The sequence below is a fragment of the Homo sapiens genome, chromosome X, assembly GCF_000001405.40.
Source record: "Homo sapiens chromosome X, GRCh38.p14 Primary Assembly".
Lineage (NCBI taxonomy): Eukaryota > Metazoa > Chordata > Mammalia > Primates > Hominidae > Homo > Homo sapiens.
In genome coordinates this window covers 154,815,603-154,835,791 of record NC_000023.11, presented here as the reverse complement: position 1 = coordinate 154,835,791, position 20,189 = coordinate 154,815,603, and the positions used below count along the sequence as shown (strand labels likewise).

At 40.6% G+C, this 20,189-nt stretch overlaps 1 protein-coding gene and 1 pseudogene across 1 annotated transcript, besides 2 other annotated features; both read left to right on the top strand.

The window, feature by feature from the left end:
• Window positions 1,130–12,444, top strand: SMIM9 (small integral membrane protein 9). The gene is made up of 5 exons (NM_001162936.4): window positions 1,130–1,229; window positions 3,109–3,218; window positions 4,837–5,077; window positions 6,128–6,257; window positions 12,010–12,444. Exons 3-5 carry the CDS (start codon window positions 4,936–4,938, stop codon window positions 12,035–12,037), a joined length of 300 nt encoding a protein of 99 aa, NP_001156408.1. The 5' UTR covers window positions 1,130–1,229; window positions 3,109–3,218; window positions 4,837–4,935; the 3' UTR covers window positions 12,038–12,444.
• Window positions 7,791–7,840: an enhancer, noted in NCBI's record as "active region_30071". NCBI's record gives its function as "activates an Ori minimal core promoter by ATAC-STARR-seq in GM12878 lymphoblastoid cells {active_cell/tissue: GM12878}" and the evidence as "EXISTENCE:reporter gene assay evidence [ECO:0000049][PMID:35858748]".
• Window positions 7,861–7,940: an enhancer, noted in NCBI's record as "active region_30070". NCBI's record gives its function as "activates an Ori minimal core promoter by ATAC-STARR-seq in GM12878 lymphoblastoid cells {active_cell/tissue: GM12878}" and the evidence as "EXISTENCE:reporter gene assay evidence [ECO:0000049][PMID:35858748]".
• HMGN1P37 (high mobility group nucleosome binding domain 1 pseudogene 37) lies at window positions 18,271–19,487 on the top strand (annotated as a pseudogene).

Genomic DNA, 20,189 nt, shown 5'->3' with positions numbered 1-20,189 from the left:
CAAATGCCTTTGAGAATTGTGTTTTTACACTGGAAATAAAAATGTGAACACTGATTTTTAAAACAAATAGGGGCACTGAATAGCAAGATGGACACTCTAGAAAACCAAATTAGTGAGTTAGAAAACCAGATTAAATTGAACTCAGAGTAAAAATGATATAATTCATGAGAGTCTGAATAAAATAAATCAGAAATGGAGCCTCAATCCAGGAGAACAGCTTATATGGAGAGAGAGAGACTGAGAGAGAAATGGGAGTTTCTGTTCAATGGGCATAAAGTTTCAGCTATGCTGCTGGGCACAGTGGCTCATGCCTGTAATCCTGGCACTTTGGGAGGCCAAGGCGGGCGGATCACCTGAGGTCGGGAGTTCAAGACCAGCCTAGCCAACATGGCGAAATCCCGTCGCTAATAAAAATATAAAAATTAGTTGGGCATGGTGGCACATGCCTGTAGTCCCAGCTACTTGGGAGGTTGAGGCACAAGAATCGCTTGAACCCGGGAGGCGGGTGGAGGTTGCAGTGAGCCAAGATCGTGCCGTTGCATTCCATCAGCCTGGGCAACAGAGTGAGACTCCATCTCAAAAAAAAAAAAGTTTCAGTTATGCAAGATGAATTAAGTTCTACAGATCTAATGTACAACATTGTGCATATAGCTAACGATACCATACTGGGCACTTAAAAATTTGTTAAGAGAGCAGATACCACGTTGTGTTCTTACTACAGTTTTACAACAATGCAAAAATGCATTGTAAACACTATGTGCAAATAGAATAGCAAAGAATGTATACAGTGCCCATGAGCATAACATTCTAGTGGACCCACAATGCATCAGAGTTCAGTGAGACTCAAAGGGAGAAGAATGTTGGCAAAGTCAGTGGGGAGGAGAAAATGAGTGTGATGAAATAGGCGGTCTCATTAAACTTCCCTTACAAAACACAAGATCAAAGATAAAATTATTAAGAATTTCGAGACAGTGACATCAGAGCAAACGAAACATAGGGCCCCTCAGGGTGTGGGGCCCTGTAGACCTGCATAGATCAAACTCCCATGAAGCCAATCCTGAGTCCCAGGCAAGCTGGGACTTTTGGTCATCCTAGCAATAGTCATGTGAGTGCACCATCTTGGAAGTAGATCCTCCAGTACAGTCAAGCTTTCAGATGACTGCAGTCCCAGCAGATACATGACTCCAATCTCATCATCCACTCCAAAACTAACCTACAGAAACTATAAGGTAATAAATGTTTTCTTCACAGTTGCTAAGTTGGAGGTCATTTTTCATTCAGCTAAAGTTAACTTATATGACAGCCATATTCTTTTTACAATGGAAAAGTCAGACAGGCATACAATGCTCATTTTCAGCTTATTCACATTGTCACTATTTTGTGGGGTTACCTGGTGGGCACAGGACAGTGACCAAGTTTGCAGGTCCTCCAGCTCCTGCTGGATCTTTTAGCTTCTCCAAATCCTAGAAAAGTTGTGTGTTTAGCTCTTTCAGAAAACACCTGACCTTCTCATGCATGTTACTCCACCATCGAAGTTAGAAGCTTGGAGATAACATGAGACTGATGCAGGTTTTAGTCCATTTCATGGGCTCTTCTCTTTTCAGGCTTCCAGTGTATACTTGCTTTCTCCACTTCACCTCACCTTTCCTTCCACAGAAAGGTCAGGGTATGGAGCTCATATGAGGGTTTAGAGGAATTTGGCTCAAGGGCCAGGGCCAGCTTCCTCCAGTGTTTCGGGTCACAACCTAGATACACCTTTATCAGCGCCTGGGAATGTTCAAGGTCCTAATTTTCATTCAGGCCTGTTGGCTGGGTCACAGAATGATCAAGCCACTCCATGATTTTCTAGCATGACACAGCAAGAAACTGGGGGAGACTGGAGGACTCTACAAAAACTTTCATTTTATGTATTTCCTGGTAGCTCTGTTTTCTGATAGAACCTAACTGAGATACCATTTTTGCCAGTTCTTCTATGGATAAGTATTATTTTTTTAATTTTTTTAATATTTTATTTTTTGTAGAGACAGTATCCTGCTATGTTGCCTCGACTTGATTTGCATTTTTTTTTTTTACTTTAAGTTCTGGGATACATGTGCAGAACATGCATGTTTGTTACGTAGGTATACATGTGCCACGGTGGTTGGGTGCACCCATCAACCCATCATCTAGGTTTTAAGCCCCTCATGTCCCCCAGGCTGGAGTGCAGTGGCATGATCATAGCTCACTGCAGCCTCAATCTCCCAGGCTCAAGCCAGGCTACTGCCTCAGCCTCCCGAGTAGCTGGGACTACAGGCATGCACCACCACACCCAGCTAATTTTTAAATTTTTTGTAGAGACAGGATCTCGCTATGTTGCTCAGGCTGGTCTCGAACTCCTGGGCTCAAGCTATCCTCCTGTCTCAGCCTCCCAAAGTGCTGGGATGACAGGCGTCTGCCACTGTGCCTAGCCAGTACTATTTCTTTTTAATTAGTTTGTAAGAGTTCTTTGTACGTTAACAATCTTAATTGAATGTCTGTCGTATATGCTGTGAAATTACTTAATTTGTCATTAACCTTTTATCTTTTTTAAACAATGTTTTGCTATATGAAAGCTTTACATTTTTATGTTATAAATTTATCAGCATTTTCATTTATGGCTTTGGGTTTTATGACATGCTTAGAGTAGCTTTTTCTGCACCAAGATTATAAAAATATCCACACATAGAATTTTCTATCATAAAAGTATGACAGAAAATGTCATATTTTGTATATAATTTTATTTTTTGTTTAGTCCTGGATCCATCTAGAATTTCTATTTTGCATAGCATGGCAAAGGGCTCACACCCAACATCATATTAAATAAGGTCTTTTTCCCTGATATGAAATGCCACATATATATGTTATTATAATGCATAGTTAGATACCATGTGGTGAATAAAATATCTTAGAATTATTCAAGCCTAAGAGGATAGAACTACTGCAAGGATGGGTTTTGGTATCAACACAGATGTTTATACATAGAGAGAAAATGATGTCTGTGTGCTTAGCTGTCAAATAAGGAGACTGGGGGAGGGTTAAATGTAATCAGTGATATCATAAGGAGTGGTGGAATTCTGTTTGGAACTTCAGAGACCTAAGGAGAAGACTGACCAGCTTCTTCTGAAGACTTCTGCCCTCTAAAGACTAAGGCCTAATTCCACTGGTTTCTTTGAATTCCGTGGTCCTAAGTCCATTTTCAGGTAAGTGGTTTCCCGCTGGATGTGGGTCTCTTTAAGCCGTATCAAACAGTAGGTGAGTGTATCAGTTATAAATGTCTTAAGTAATAGGAGGCCCAAATTATAATGGCTCAAATAAAAGTATATTTTTCTCATACCATGCAGTCCAGAAGTAAGCAGATACAGGTGTTAGTTTAGTGGCTTGAAATTATCAGAGCAACTTCAGGCAACATTTCTTAAGCAATATTCAAGGCAGCATAAAGGGAAAATGGTAGCACCATCTCTTTTATCAAGACAGCAAAAAGCCTTCCCAAAAGCTATCCATCAGATTTCCCTTATGTTTCATTATCCAGAGCTATGTCACATAGCCATGCCTAACTTCAAGGATGGCTAAGAAAGGGAGGATTCAGCTTTTTCAGCTTATCTAGTTGGATGTAGTAAATGAAAAATGGGTGGGAACAATATCTGCCAAAAGTCGCCATTCATTCAAAAAATATTTATTGAGCACCTGGATACCCTATGTGCTAGGTACTGTTTAGCAGTGAACAAAACAGACAAAAATCCCTGCACTCATAGAGCTTACATTATATTCAGGAGATACATATAATAAAGTAAAGTAAAATATATTCTACTAGGTTCTGATGAGGTTCTGGAGAAAAATCAAGCAGGTAAGACAATTAGGAAGTTTGTAGGAGGGTGGTACAATTTTAACAATGGGATCTAAGGAAAATCCTCATTGAGAAGGTGATATTTGAGTACCTGACAGAGGTGAGGAAATAAATTCTGAGAATACCTGGGGGAAAAGCATTCCCTGGAAAGGGAAAAGCAAGTTAAAAAGCCCCAAGGTAGGAACATGCCTAGCTTGTTCAAAATGAAATGAGGCTAAGTTGGAGTGATGATCAAGAGGAGACTCATAGGATATGTGGTCAGCAGTAACTAGGACATAATCTGACCTACAACCTACCAAGATCTCTTTGGCCACTCACTGGAGAAGAGGCTTAAGGGAGGCAAGGACGGAAGCAGAAAGACAGAGATGATGGTGGGTAGCAGTGGAGGTGGTGTGAAGTGGCAGGATTCTGGATACGTTTTGTAAGTAAAGGTGACTAGACTTTTCTGATGGATAAAGTGTATGAGAGAAAAAGAAGAGTCATTACTATATATGTAAATCTAAGCAAACATTTACTTTTTAAAGCAATTTAAAGTTTGTTACTTGAATATATAAAATATATCATGGAGTTAAAAATATATAGAAATTTATTATATTTGGTATCTAAAGTAGTCAAATTCATAGAAACAAAAATGAGGAGCTGTTTAGAGTTTCAGTTTTCCAAGTTGAAAAAGTTCTAGAGATCTGTTGCACAACAATGTGAATGTACCTTTTTCAGCCTGAACAGGTGAAAGAGTTTCTACTAATTGAGTTGGGGAAGATTGAAAAGGTATCAGGTGTAGGAAGGAATGTCCGGTATCTGACCTGATAGAGCATAGTCAGGTTTTGTTTTGTTTTCTTGGAGGGGATATATTTTGCTTTGGAAACTGACCATTTTCAGGAGTCACCTGTGTAAGTCAGTCAATTGTCCTTATGTTCGTGATGGTGAGAAGATTTTTGGAATATGAGCTAAACCATCATTGTCTAACTTTTCAGACAAAGTTTCTGTGGAAAGACCTACGGACAAAGACATCTCTCCTTGGCAGAGTGAGCTAGGATTACCAGCTCTTCAGCCGCAGCTGAAGGCGGGAGTCCATGGAACCCCAGAAGCTGCTGATAATTGGATTTCTGCTATGCTCTCTAACTTGCCTCTTGTTGGAGACAGTAGCTTCCTCTCCTTTGCCTTTGTCTGCCTTGGGAATACAAGAAAAAACAGGATCGAAACCACGCTCAGGGGGTGTGTTTGCTGTTAGGATGAATGTTTCTTTCTTCATAGGACTTAAGATTCATGTTTCAGTTCAGGTCAGGTAAAATGAATTTCATGTTTAAAAAGAATGTTCATAGGAAAGCAAACTATTCTGGTTTGGTTCAATTTAGTTCAACAAGCATTAACCTACCTACTACGTACCAAGCCCTTTTCTGAACTACATGGATTAGGAATTGAACAGCCTCTGTTATGAAGGAGCTCACAGATAGGCAGACAAAGCCATAGATGCCAACCTTCCATGGAGTATGATCAATGCTCCCAGGGGACAAGGGGATAATTTAAATTGTTTTGGGGGAGGGGTCAGGAAAGACTTGACAAAGGAGGTGAAATTGAAAATAAACCTGATGGTCCACTGATCCACAATCTAGGTTCCAACATGCACACACATGCTATTCAAGTGTCTTGCTGGTTAGTGGTGAATCCTCTCAACTCCATGCTGCAGACACTTTCGTTTTCCCCTCCTTCTTTCTTCAGGGTCAAAGCACTGTACCTTCCTCCCCCAGTTGCTAATGAAAAGACCCAACATCCCCAGCCTTACATTGATCAGCAAACTCCCCCTAGAGGTCCTTCTTCCAGTGGCCCTGGCCCCTTTCTCCTCTGCTCTTAGGGCTGGTGGCCTTCTCCTTTCTCTTCCTGGGATACTCCCTCTCCTCAGCCTCCTGCAGGACTCCCAGATATACTCTAGGCAACAACACCTTAGTAAAGACTTTCTTGTTATCAAGTCATGCTTCTCTTTCAAAAAGTACCCAATATACTCAAGATATCCGAAACAACAATTATTGTTCCTATTTGACTTACAAGGAGGCAAAAATTATATCCATCTCAGGATACTTTAAAAACAAAATGTTTGCCCTTTGAACATCTTACAGCCAGCACAGCAAAGTAGTTTAGAATATGGGCTCTGGACAACTGTAAGAACATGATATCTGGGACAACTATTTGAACTCGAATTTGGATTCAAACGCCAGCCCTATCATTTACTTGACCTCTCCTCAATGAATGTCTATGCTCTTTCTGCAGGTAATCACAGGTCCTGGCTGAACAACTTCAGGGATTACTTATGGCAACTTATCAAGAGTGCCTTACCTCCAGCAGCCATTGTTGCTTTTCTTCTCACCTCAGCACTAATGGGGATCCTCTGCTGCTTCACGTAAGCTTCTGTGGGAAGAAGAGACAGGGAGGAGAGAGGGAATGTGAAGGGGGGTGGGAACAGAAACAGGTTGCTCACCAGCCTGCATATCTGTAATTAAGGGAAAGTTTTAAGAAATTCAATTCTGGGAGGAAAACTGTGAAAGGTCATGCAACCCCCTTTTAAAATGTCTACTTTCTCTTTTACTTCCTCCAACTTGCTCCATTTGTTACCAGTGACTGACAGGTCACATTTAATGACTAGTGTTTCCAATGGTCATTTCTTTTATCAACTTTATTAACTCCTAATTTTTCTTCCCTGTGGCTCAAGAACTATACATAGAAAATAAATAATTAGCTGTGCTCTCAATTTCCTGAAAATTTATCATAATATTTATCTACATAAATCATATGAAGCCAAAAGAATCCTGAGGAAAACAAAATAGTTGAGCTAAATTTTGTTAATTCAGTCAGTATTTACCAACAAATGACTACTTGCTTGTCTCTGTGCTTGTTGCTAGAAAGGCAGAGAAAGAAGACAATTAAAAATTACAAATTGGTAGGTCATTGCTATTGTGGGAGACAGAGTCCAAGTGGGGAGACCTATGAAAGTGATCAACAAAGGTGTTAAAGAGATGAGGTCAGGAAATAGTTGGCCAGTTTGCAAGAGGAACTAAAAGGGAATAGAGAATAGAAATGGGGGGTCCTGCAGAGCTCAAAAATCTAATAAAAGTGGCTGAGGATAAAGATCAGATTAAGGGTGTGGCATCACCTATGGCTCCTGTAACCTCAAAATGATCACAGGATCAAGAACTGTGTCTAGGAAGCAACCTTGGATGTGGTTACTGGCACATGGAACTGATTGGAGACAAATAGATTAGAAGTCAGCTAAGCTTTTGAGAGAAGCTTATTGCCAGAGAAACCATAAGCCAGAACTAAATGAGCCATCTGTTGTAAACAATAGTTAGGCCTCCACCTTTCCATGAAAAAGAAGGACACCAGCTTCGAAGGTCCCAACATTTGCTTCAGATGCAGCCATAGAGAATAATGGATCAGTAGAGCCTCCCAGAGAATGGACAATGGGCCACAGAGTCACCCTTTGAAAGCAGGATTTGGGCCTAATCCATGCCTACCTACCAGGACTCCAGGATTGCCACAGAGCAGTGACTGCTGTGTGTCTCTCATTCTTCCTATTTCCAAATGGGAATGTTTATGGTGCTTATCCTCTTCCTGTTCCATCATTATTCTGGGGTGTGGAGATCAGGAGCATATAACTCGTTTTAGTTCATAGGTCACTTAACCAAGCAGAGCCACCCTCAGACTTGAGAGAACTAAGCATCACCCAGATACTCTGGACTTTGAGCTGGACACAGTGATGAGTGTGACTTAGTACTGAGGAAAGGGTTTGCCACAAGTCAGGTATTCTGAAACTAGACAGGGAGACCGGAATTTGGCATTCAGAGTATAATTAATGATCAATGCCTGTGGAAGATAGGGGGTGGAAGGGAGAAATCAAACTGCCTTGCAAGCCCAACAAAGACTCAGTCGGCCCCATCAGGGTTGTCCCACATGGCTGAAATGGCTGGACCTCTCTAACCCCACCTCAGTCATTCACTGGATGTGGGCTGCCCCCAGAAAGTACATGGAAGCTCTCTGCAGCTGAGGCAGACTCTGAATGAGCTGACAGGTAGAGGCTTTCTGCTGACAACACTCTCAGCAGCTAGGGAAATAAGGCCTTTCTCAAGCGGAAATATGGGTGGAATATTTCCATATGCATGACAGGGTGGCTGTGTTCCACGTATGAAAGGAAAAGTGAAACAGATACTGGGTGATCAGAAAGACAGACTGTAACAGAGACTGGCTATATGTTCAGCAATCCTGTTCCTTCTTCCCCAAGCACAGAGTAACATTATATTCTTAACCTTCCTTCCAGTTAGGCTGGGACCACAGTACTGAGATTTGGCCAGTTAAATACGAGCAAAAGGAATGTATGACATTTCCAGGCCTAGCCATAAAATGTCTTGCACATGTGTCCATGCTGCCTCTCTCTTTCACATATGCAGGGCTTCAACTGAAGGACTCTAAGATGGTGAAACCACATGATGGAAGGAGCTGGGATCCCTGAATCACCTTGTGGAGGAGAACTTAACTTACATCAGAATGAGGCATGAGTGAAGGATCAATTTTATTGTGTTAAGCTACTAAGATCTCAGGATTGTTTGTTATAGCAGCTGAATATCCCTGACTAGTATACCTAGCAACCAACCAAGGGAGCTGGAACTCAAATCAAGATATGTCTGGTTCCACATCTTTGAAGTCATTGTTACTCAAACTGTGGTCAGCAGGTCAGCTGCATCAAAAGCATCTGAAGTATTGGTTAATTAATATTCAGAGGGACTTCTGTGAAGATAAAGCAGGCAATATGCCAAGAAAAAGAATTCCTTCTTTGAAGTAGATGGCTTAACCTGAATAGAAAAGCCAATAAGCCCTTGCTGGGAACAAGCAAGCTAACTAGTGAAAGAAACATTTCTGGACCCAGTTGGGCACCAAGTAGAAGCCTAACAGGTAAATTGGAATGAATAAGCATATAGGCAAGCCATATTTTTAAGAAGCAGTTTGTTGAGGCAAGAAGGTAAAGTCTGAAACTTCTTTATGCTCAGACCTACATCTGCTGCTCTCACTTGACTGGAAAGAAGTAAAGGCTACAAGAGCTCACACATACCTCAGCATCATGAAGAGAATTTGTTAGTCCAAAGTATAGCTCTGGACTTGTGCACATCTCCTGTAAATAACTGGTCCAGTAAGAGTTTACCTCATTCAACAGGAAACAGCACCAGATCTATGCAGAGTTACTATATGGAAAACACAAGAAACGTATAAGCAAGAAATGGCAGATGAGGAATACTCACTAGAAAAATATCTCAGGGCAGATAAAAACCATGTACTAACATATTGCCATAAATTCAAAACATTTGATACAAAATATAAAATAATAGCTAAGGTCGGGCATGGTGGCACATGCCTGTAATCCCAGCATTTTCAGAGGCTGAGGCAGGAGGATTGCTTAAGGCCAGGAGTTTGAGACCAGCCTAGGAACATAGCAAGACCTCATCTCAATAATAATAATAGTAAATGCTATATGCAGAAATACAACAGGGCAGATAAGGTATACCAAAACAAAAGAAGAAGATGAAAATTAGTTGGAAAATCCCAAGAAAAATGTAAAAGACAAAAAGTAAAACTATCACCAAAATGAGGAAGCATGAAGAAAAAGAGACATTGGTGCAAAATATGAAAGAAAATATGGAAAATAGGATTATATAGGCAAGCAGTATTAAGTAAACAGTTTGGTGAAAGTAAGATTAGAGAAGAAATGGTAGATGCAGGAGGCACAGAATGATTTCTTCGATGAAGAGAACCAAAATAATCCAACAGAAGAAAAAGTTATAATTTTTTCTTTTTCTTTTTTCTTTTTTTTTTATTGTTACTATACTTTAAGTTTTAGGGTACATGTGCACAACGTGCAGGTTTGTTACATATGTATACATGTGCCATGTTGGTGTGCTGCACCCATTAACTGGTCATTTAGCATTAGGTATATCTCCTAATGCTATCCCTCCCCCCTCCCTCCACCCCACAACAGTCCCCAGAGTGTGATGTTCCCCTTCCTGTGTCCATGTGTTCTCATTGTTCAATTCCCAGCTATGAGTGAGAACATGTGGTGTTTGGTTTTTTGTCCTTGCGATAGTTTGCTGAGAATGATGGTTTCCAGCTTCATCCATGTCCCTACAAAGGACATGAACTCATCCTTTTTTATGGCTGCATAGTATTCCATGGTGTATATGTGCCACATTTTCTTAATCCAGTCTATCATTGATGGACATTTGGGTTGGTTCCAAGTCTTTGCTATTGTGAATAGTGCCGCAATAAACATACGTGTGCATGTGTCTTTATAGCAGCATGATTTATAATCATTTGGGTATATACCCAGTAATGGGATGGCTGGGTCAAATGGTATTTCTAGTTCTAGATCCCTGAGGAATCGCCACACCGATTTCCACAATGGTTGAACTAGTTTACAGTCCCACCAACAGTGTAAAAGTGTTCCTATTTCTCCACATCCTCTCCAGCACCTGTTGTTTCCTGACTTTTTTTTTTTTTTTTTGAGGTGAAGTCTCAGTCTGTCACCCAGGCTGGAGTGCAGTGGCACCATCTCGGCTCACTGCAACCTCTGCTTCCCGGGTTGAATCGATTCTCCTGCCTCAGCCTCCTGAGTAGCTGGGATTACAGGCACGCGTCACCACGCCCAGCCAGCTGATTTTTGTATTTTTTGTAGAGACGGGGTTTCACCATGTTGGTCAGGCTGGTCTTGAACTCCTGATCTCGTGATCCACCCGCCTCGGCCTCCCAAAGTGCTGGGATTACAGGCGTGAGTCACCGCGCCCAGCCAAGTTATAATTTTTTAAGTGTTGCAGAAATTAAAGAAGACTGGAGTCTGTGGTCATAAAGGACACATCAAGTCCCAGGAAAAATTGGGACTTGCTACTGGGCACATAGTAGACTCTCAGTAATACTTGTTGATTTTTAATTAAGACATTTCACAGTGAGGATTGCACACAGCCTCTCTGTGCCTCATTCTTCCTCCTCTATACTCACCTGTGTATACCATTAGCTGCAGCTGTAATGAAGGCTTAAGCTAGCTGCTTATTACCTGAGGCACATGGAAGCTTGGCTAATCTCCCAGCATTCCAGAAGCAGAGGTGGAAATCAGGAGGACTGACAGGCTCTAACAAGTCCACAAAGATATGTGTACAAGGAATTTTTAGTATGGTTTACGATAGTGAAGAAATGGAAACTTAAATGTCCATCAGTCTGGGGCTAGCTAAAGAAAGTATTGCACATTCATACACTGAGTACTAAGGATAATTACACAGAAACATATTCATGAAATATCATTGAGTGGAAAAAGCAGATTATAACAGAAGATATATAGTTTAGTCTAATTTCTTATTAAAAACTAATTGTATAGGGGGAAAGCCTCTAAGAACCTAACCCAAGTATTAGACATTGGTTATCTCCTTGTGGTAGTGAATAGGTTGTTTTATTACTATTGGCGGTGGTGTTAACTTTTGTTTTTCCTGTCTAATTGCACTTTCTGATCTTTCTTTTTTTTCTTTTTCTTTTTTTTTTTTTTTTTTTTTGAGACGGAGTCTCGCTCTGTCGCCCAGGCTGGAGTGCAGTGGCGTGATCTCGGCTCACTGCAAGCTCCGCCTCCGGGTTCACGCCATTCTCCTGCCTCAGCCTCCCGAGTAGCTGGGACTACAGGCGCCCGCCACCACGCCAGGCTAATTTTTTGTATTTTTAGTAGAGACGGGGTTTCACCCTGTTAGCCAGAATGGTCTCGATCTCCTGACCTCGTGATCTGCCTGCCTCGGCCTCCCAAAGTGCTGGAATTACAGGTGTGAGCCACCGCGCCCGGCCCACTTTCTGATCTTTCTACAATGAGCTGTATTGTTTGATCAGTTCATTTTTAAAAAGATACTTTAAAAACAAAAGAAGAAAAACTACCTAACCATACTTATACCACTACCTCCAAGCCCCACTGTACTGGAAACACATTCTTATTCTGCTTTTTCATCAAAGTATTTTGTTTGTATGGAATTATTTGGTTCATATTAAGAGAAAAACTGGTGTCAAATCCAATCTTTGAAAAGGTTATATAATTATATAGCAACTCTGTGCAGAGCATTCACCATTTTATCTTCCTTTCCCAGCATTCTTGTAGTTGATCCAGTCCACTGAAGAACTAGAAGATTCAACAGGGCAAGTGTGGTCTCTCCAGTTGGACTCCAAAAGAGTGGGGCATTTGCTATCTGCTTAAAATGAGGAAGTATCTATCAGTTGAAATTAAATCGTCTTCCAACTTGAATCATCCTTTGCCTTCATTTTCTCCTTCAAAAGTTGCAATTTTAAAATGTGAATATCCTTATTACTGTTTTGGTTATAATAGTAATACATATTTATTGCAAAAAAAATTTGAGAAATACAGAGAAAAGAGTAAGTTTCCATAATTCTAGCAACCAGAAATAAACATCATTAACATCTTGATGTACCTCCCTTCAATTTTTTTCTATATATGTATTACAAGTTTTCCAAAGTCTGTTCTGTGAAACAATAGTTCTGTTTTAATAAAAGTCACAAAACAGTGAGGGCCCTGTGGTCAGTTATGTTTGGGAAATGCTGGATTAAACAAATTTAAAGCTATCTTTCTTTGCTCAAGGACTTCTAAGAACTTTTAACAGGCTAATACTAATCTCCACAAGGGAGTATAATATATAGCATTTCCCAAACTAATTTAAACATGAGCTTTTTTTTTTAATGTAGTGGAGATGACATAAGTCATTTAATGACCTCTCCATATAATAATTATTTAAGGTATTTCTATTTATTGACTATTATAAATGTAATACAGGTAATATTATTAAAAATTATTGGCTGGGTGCGGTGGCTCATGCCTGTAATCCCAACATTTTGGGAGGCCGAGGCGGGTGGATCACCTGAGGTCAGGAGTTCGAGACCAGCCTGGCCAACATGGTGAAACCCCATCTCTACTAAAAATGCAAAAATTAGCTGGCCATGGTGGTGAGCCCCTGTGATCCCAGCTACCCAGGAGGCTGAGGTGGGAGACTTGCTAGAATCCGGGAGGTGGAGGCTGCAGTGAGCTGAGATAGTGCCATTGCACTCCAGCCTGGGTGATAGAGCAAGACCCCGTCACAAAAAAATATATATTAATTTGCTTTTCCTTTTTGCTGTTCTGAGTTTGAAATCATTCATTCAACAGACACTTGTTGATCACCTACTGTGAGCCAGACACTGAACAGGTAACAAACAGACGGGGTCTTGCTCTGTCACCCAGGCTGGAGTGCAATGGTGCTATCTAACCCCAGCTCTTGTGGAGCCACCATGCTAATGTGAAGATTCAGAGAAACCAGATTAAGCGAGGGGCAGAGTAGATATTGTGAGCCATTGAAAGGATTTAGGCTCTTCCTGGGGGCCATAGTGGGGGCCAACAGAAGGTTTAGATCGGAGGAGGGATGTGAAGGGAGAGCAGATGGGATTTGATTAGGATTTGGATGAGATGAGAGAGAGAGTGAGGCTTCAAGCATGCCTCCGAGGTTTTTGGCCCAAGCAGATGAAAGAATGGGGTTGTCATTTATTGAGCTAGAGAAAACTGCAGGAGGTTAGGAATTTACTACAGAGAAAATGCAAAGAGAAAGAAAAACTGAAGTGAAATTCTAATTGATGCTGAGGTGAGATCCAGTGGGCTGCCACATGGCCTGTCATGTGGCCTGCTGTGGCAAGCCAAGGTGAACTCAGAAAAGACTTGGAGTTTTGCTTAAGTCCAATGTTTCCTTTTTGACTGTCTTTCTGGATGATGCGTCCACTGTTGAGAATGGGGTGTTGAAGTCCCCGTGTTGCTGTCAATTTCTCCCTTGTCTTCTGTAAATATTTGCTTTATATATTTAGCTGCTCCAATGTTGGGTACATACATATATATATTTACAGTTGTTATGTCTTCTTGATGGATTGACCCCATGAAAGGAAAATAAATCGCCCCCAAATGACCAAGCGAAAGGGAAAAGTCAAGCTGGGAAGTGCATTGGGCAAACCTGCCTCCTATTCTATTCCTAAATAAGATAACTACAAAGATTTTTTTTTAAAGCTACATACCTTCCTCACAATTTGCCCATGAAGAAATTCCTTGTAAACAAAGGACAGGCAGAACTCAAAGTCATCCCTCTGCTCACATGAGACAAATGCATATCTGATTGCTTCCTTTGCCCTATTGTTTCACAAAGTCAGACTAAAGCATAAGTGACTCTTCCTGCTCTCACATGTAAATTGTGTATTCAGTGAAAGGCTAATCAGCAACTCAAAAGAATGCAACCATTTTTCTCTTATCTAACTATGACCTGGAAGCCCCCTCCCCACTTCAAGTTGTCCCACCTTTCTGGACCAAACCATTGCATATCTTACATATATTGATTGATGTCTCATGTCTCCCTAAAATGTATAAAACCAAGCCTTGGGCACATGGCATCAGGACCTCCTAAGGCTGTGTCATGGGCATGTCCTTAACCTTGGCAAAATAAACTTTCTAAATTCACTGAGACCTGTCTGAGATATTTGAGGTACACATTTGGTGACCACAAAGAGACTCTGAGTGGAGGTGGCCCTGACCTTTGACAAATCTCCTATCAGTACTTGGTACCAACTCGAGCTATCTTTATGGCTCAAACCAATAGAACAATTTGCTGAGGCCTGGGAGCTCCCCTCCCTCCAGAGAATCCCTCATCTCCCAAAATTTGGTTGAGATCTAAAGTTTATTTTGCTGTACAACTCCTTTTCTGGAGTTTTGCTTGCTTCCAACAAGGAAGGCAAGTTTTCCTGCTTCCATGACAATGAAAGGCAAATAACTGCATTCTGGAATTTGAGCTCACTTCCAACAGGGAAGGTGAGTTTGAGTTTTTTCCTACTTCTGGGATGGTAGAGAGCAGTCTTCAGCCTGAGACCCACTCCTAGGTAAGTAGCTGAATTGGAGTTTTCTCTTGGCTAAAGTTATGATTCACAGTCGGCTGGTCTTAATTTCTCCTTACCATTAGAGGACTCAGTAATCATATTGTTGGGGTTCTTTTGTTGTTTGTTCCAGTCTTTCTCCCATCAGATTTGGCCAATTCTACCTGACTTGGTCAAATTTGAATGAGAATTCCAAATAGTGAGTAACAAGGTATCTCTGAATTGGCTAAAATTCCTCGCAGCTGCAAAAGAGAAAAAAATGACCAAACATGCAGTTGGTTTGTGTGTTTGCTCCCTGTCTTAAAAAAATAACTGTTCTTTCGTTTACTTTTCTTCCACCCTATTCCTCCTTCTCCCCTCGCCATCTTTGGTACCAAGAAGAATATAAAGAAGGCATCTAATGACTCTAACCCTTTAAAGAACTCAGGACAAAGGCACCGTTCACTCCTTTGGGGCTGTTCTGTTTTCTTTGTGGAGTTTCAAGAGTCATGGGCAGATTCTTCTTAGGTGTAAAGCTCTGCTCTCCTGTATTGCATTACCTGACCTCTTTGGCTTCTGGGGGTGAAGTGGCTACATTGTCTGGGGTATACACCCTGGGGTTCGTTGTCATGCACCAGGAAAATTTAGGACATGGACACACACAAGTCTAGGAGCAGAGGTTTAATGAGCAGAAGAGAAGAGAAAGAGAAGCAGCTTTCTCTATAGAGAAAGGGGTCTCCCGGTGGAAAGGACCAGCGGGTGGTGGATGCGCCAAATTTTAGTCAGGTTTGAGGAGGTGGTGTCTGATTTACATAGGGCTGACAGATTGGTTCGATCAGGTATGACGTTTACATAGTGCGGGGGAAGGCTGGTGGCCCCAGCTGAATATTATTATGCAAATGGACTTTCCAGTTGATTGGAGCCATCTTGCCTCTCTATGTCTGCAGCTGAACTTTACAGGCTGCTCTTTGTTAGAAAATCATTTGAGGCTGCTTTTCATTAAAAAGAAAAACTTTACTGAGGATCCCCATACCCTTACTGTCTGCCTAAGTGATTTCTTCTTAAGTCCTGTATCAGGGGTACCAGAGATTACCTTGTCCTGTGAGAGGATTTGACCTTGGCATGTGTAATAGCAGACAAGAGCTACAGTTAAAGGTGGCCGAGGACAGTTTACAGAAAGTGGTCTTGGCTGGGCTTTTTTCCTCCTAGGAGGTTGTTTAGGATCTCAATTCTAATTCAGAGGTGCATTTTAAAGAGTCTTCTCCATTGCCTTTCCTGCCCAAATTAATCTCCATTGGCTTGTCTGCATATTTGCATGAGGAACTGCACTGTCACTTTCATAGATAAATGAGAGACTGAGTTTCCTCAACCCCAAAGAGAAAGGGCATTTTGCTCCTCCCAGTCAAAAGGTGCTCCTGGGTGACTGGAGGCCAAGTGGGAGTGTCTGGGGGTTGCCTCCATGTGATGTGCAGTAGCCCTACAGGGAATTGCCAACAAAATTAGTTTTAAAAGCCTCGTCCAGGGAGCACATATAGGAGCTGCTCACCCCAAGCTTTGAGCCCTCCCAGAGGTGCTAGACCTCTGGAGAGAGAAACTGAGACACAAAAGAGGGCCGAAACAATTCAGTGGTGATGCATTGTGGAGTCCTGTCCGCAACCAGCACACTTTGACCCACCACACTAAACCCTAGGCCACAGCTCAGTTCCTCCTTTTAAGAAAAAAACAATGTGGGAAACACATCATCTAAGAATAAGGAAAGACAAGGAGAACAAGCCCCCTTGGAAGCCCATTTGGTTTCATGGCTCCTGTACTCGCAAGTGGCTGTGTAAATGGAAGGGCCGGATTTCCTACGACTCCAGCTGCTCACGCGTTAGGTCTGTTATTGTGCACGTTTTAAACTGACAGGCAGATTACATCAAGGAAAATTCCGAGCCTGAAGGTCAATCTGCAACTATAAAGCTCCTGAGTTCTCTATCTCTCTGCTTTCTTTTCTGCCTGCTTTAAGTCTGTTGTTACTTTTCTACTGAGATAAAATCCACTGTTTGCACCTAACCGTTTCTTTTTGTTATTGTTTTTGCAAACCAATGAGTTGTTATTAATATCGCATGGCTAGAGTTCTGAAGTAAATGCTCTAGGATATTTGTTTATATGAGTGTGTATGTGTGTGTGTTTACGTGTATGTAGATGTATTTGGTTATATGTTTTCTGCCACAAGGTACCAAATTTGGCTTAAAGAGTACTCATAAATTAAATAATAAGCCCAAATGCTTTTCAAGCTCACATGACTTAAGTAGAGTTTTTACTAAGCTAGCTTTAAAATTATTGGTAGAGTAATATTACAAATATCTTCAGAAATGTCAGTATACATTTTTGTTTGCATTTATTGATCAAGAGATTTCATACTTATCCCTGCCAAATATTATAAGGTGTCAAAATTTGTCATAAAGCTTATTTTATTTTATTTTTTGAGCGGAGTCTGCCTCTGTCGCCCAGGCTGGAGTGCAGTGGTGCGATCTGGGCTCACTGCAAGTTCCGCCTCCGGGGTTCACGCCATTCTACTGCCTCAGCCTCCCAAGTAGCTGGGACTACAGATGCCCAGCTGATTTTTTTGTACTTTTAGTAGAGACGGGGTTTCACCGTGTTAGCCAGGATGGTCTCGATCTCCTGACCTCGTGATCCGCCCATCTCGGCCTCCCAAAATGGTGGGATTACAGGCCTGAGCCACCGTGCCCAGCTGTCATAAAGGTTATTAAACAATAAACCCAGCCCAAAACAGAATGATCTTTGCTTGTGTAATCTTTCACAAAAAAGACATTATTATTGGTTTAATGAAGACAGCTAAATCCTGAATTATTTGGTAAAATAACCATGTATTCAATCTTAAGATTCTAACTCAGATAAATGCCTGAAATTCACAAGCTATAAAATGGTTGACAGGAAAATAACTTTGGTGACTGTTGCAGTTTTCATAAATAATCTAGGTAAACTATTAAAATAAAATAATTAGGTAAATGTGATGGGATAAATACTTGTAGATAAACTTGCCATCATTTAGAATCTAAAGTTAAATAATAGGTATTTCATTAAATGGGTGTTTTCTAATGAAAAAATATGTATTGTAGGAAAACATTTTTTCTAAAAAATGTGTGTGTTCTTGTTAAAGGGTGAGTAATTTTTGTCTAATTCAAAGGTTATTTAAAGGTTATGTATAAAACAAGGTAAAAAGAACCGGGAAATAAGAGATATGTAAAGAAAGGTATAGAAATGAAGTATTTTTGGTAAGAAAGCTTAAAAATAATTTTATATGATAAAGAATCTTATATGGTAATTTTTTGTCCCAGAATAAAATGATTGTTTATTTAAGAAAGAGGGAAGGTCAGGACAAACCAGAAAGTCCAAGCATATCATGAATGGTCTGGCCACAGCTCAGTTCCTCCTTTTAAGAAAAAAAAAATATGGGATCAAATCTTATATGATCGGTGGGTCTCAGCAGCTCGGGTGGCGGGAGGAGTGGCAGCGGCCAGGCAGCCCAGTTTCGCGAAGGCTCTCGGCGCGCCGCAGCCCGCAGGCACCCGGCACACACCCTCCCTGCCACCAGGATGCCCAAGAGGAAGGTCAGCTCCACCAAAGGGGCCGCCAAGGAAGAGCCCAAGAGGAGATCGGCGCGGTTGTCAGCTAAACCTCCTGCAAAAGTGGAAGTGAAGCCAAAAAAGGCAGCAGCGAAGGATAAATCTTCAGACAAAAAAGTGCAAACAAAAGGGAAAAGGAGAGCAAAGGGAAAACAGGCCGAAGTGGCTAACCAAGAAACTAAAGAAGATTTACCTGCAGTAAACAGGGAAACGAAAACTGAGGAGAGTCCAGCCTCTGATGAAGCAGGAGAGAAAGAAGCCAAGTCTGATTAATACCATATACCATGTCTTATCAGTGGTCCCTGTCTCCCTTCTTGTACAATCCAGAGGAATATTTTTATCAACTATTTTGTAAATGCAAGTTTTTTAGTAGCTCTAGAAACATTTTTAAGAAGGAGGGAATCCCACCTCATCCCACTTTTTAAGTGTAAATGCTTTTTTTAAGAGGTGAAATCATTTGCTGGTTGTTTATTTTTTGGTACAACCAGAAAATAGTGTGGGATATTGAATTATGGGAGGCTCTGACTGTCTCGGGTGTCAGCTTAACATTCCATAGATGGGGGGGTTAGTTTTTATATCCTATAATACAAAGCATATTAAATGGCAATATGGAGTCAGTCCTGCATTTAATGTCTTGAACATTTTAAATTACTTCTATTCCCATGTTGTTTTTTAGTAGAATTGTTTCCTAAAGAAAACCACTCTTTGATCATGGCTCTCCCTGTCAGAATTGTGTGCACTCTGTAACATCTTTGGTTGTGGTTTTCCTAATCACTTGGTTACTGTGCTGTGAAAGATTACAAATTTGAACATGTAGTGTACGTGCTATTCAGTTGTGAACTGGTGGGCCGTATGTAACAGCTGACCAACATGTGAAGATACTGGTACTTGATAGCCTCTTAAGGAAAATTTGCTTCCAAATTTTAAGCTGGAAAGTCACTGGAATAACTTTAAAAAAGAATTACAATACATGGCTTTTTAGAATTTCGTTATGTATGTTAAGATTTGTGTACAAATTGAAATGTCTGTACTGATCCTCAACCAATAAAATCTCAATTATGAAAATAAAAAAACTTACATGATCAAGTTGTCTATAATTAAAGGGAAATCATTTATAATGGTTTTTCTAGAGATTGGGTTTTGATATTTAAAGAAAAAAACACTTATACACTAAAGGATTGATTAGAACAATGATATTTTCTTAAGGTATTTGCTTTACCCTTAATAAAACTATAAGACATTATGATTTTTAATGCAAAGTTCAACTTTGTGTCTCGTGTTTTCAGCTTTCTCTCCGTTAAAAGTCTGAAATAATAACTCTCCTTCAACTCATTTTCAGCTCCTGTACGGTTTTTTTTTTCCTCCTTCGGTTTCTGTTTGTTGTGATCTGATGCTAAAAATGTTTTATCTTAAAGGTCTAAAGAAAGTGTTTCCTTCCAACATAATATTCTGTGCTCTTGGCTTTAAATTGTTCTATGGATCTGAAAATTTGCATTTATGATCCAGGAAACATTCTTCCTATGTCTAACTAGTTCAAGTACCTTTTTCATTAGTTTTGACTCGAACTTATCTAAATGGAACTCCCCATAGGGAACAGCAGTCGCACTGCAGAAGGTCTCTTTTGCCTTTGGGTAACTGGCCTAATAAACAGATTTTATGCTTTATCAAAATAATTTCTATGTCATTATTACTAAGTTTTGATTTGTTTAGGGAAAAAACTGAGATTAAAACTTTTTTTAAAATTAAGGTTATTACATCCGTGTGACTTT

Coding starts and splice junctions, on each gene's coding strand:
- SMIM9 (NM_001162936.4), top strand. CDS start 4,936: ATGGAACCCCAGAAGCTGCTGATAATTGGATTTCTGCTATGCTCTCTA. Junction 5,078..6,127: donor ATCGAAACCACGCTCAGGGG/GTGTGTTTGCTG, acceptor CTCTTTCTGCAG/GTAATCACAGGTCCTGGCTG. Junction 6,258..12,009: donor GGGATCCTCTGCTGCTTCAC/GTAAGCTTCTGT, acceptor TTCCTTTCCCAG/CATTCTTGTAGTTGATCCAG.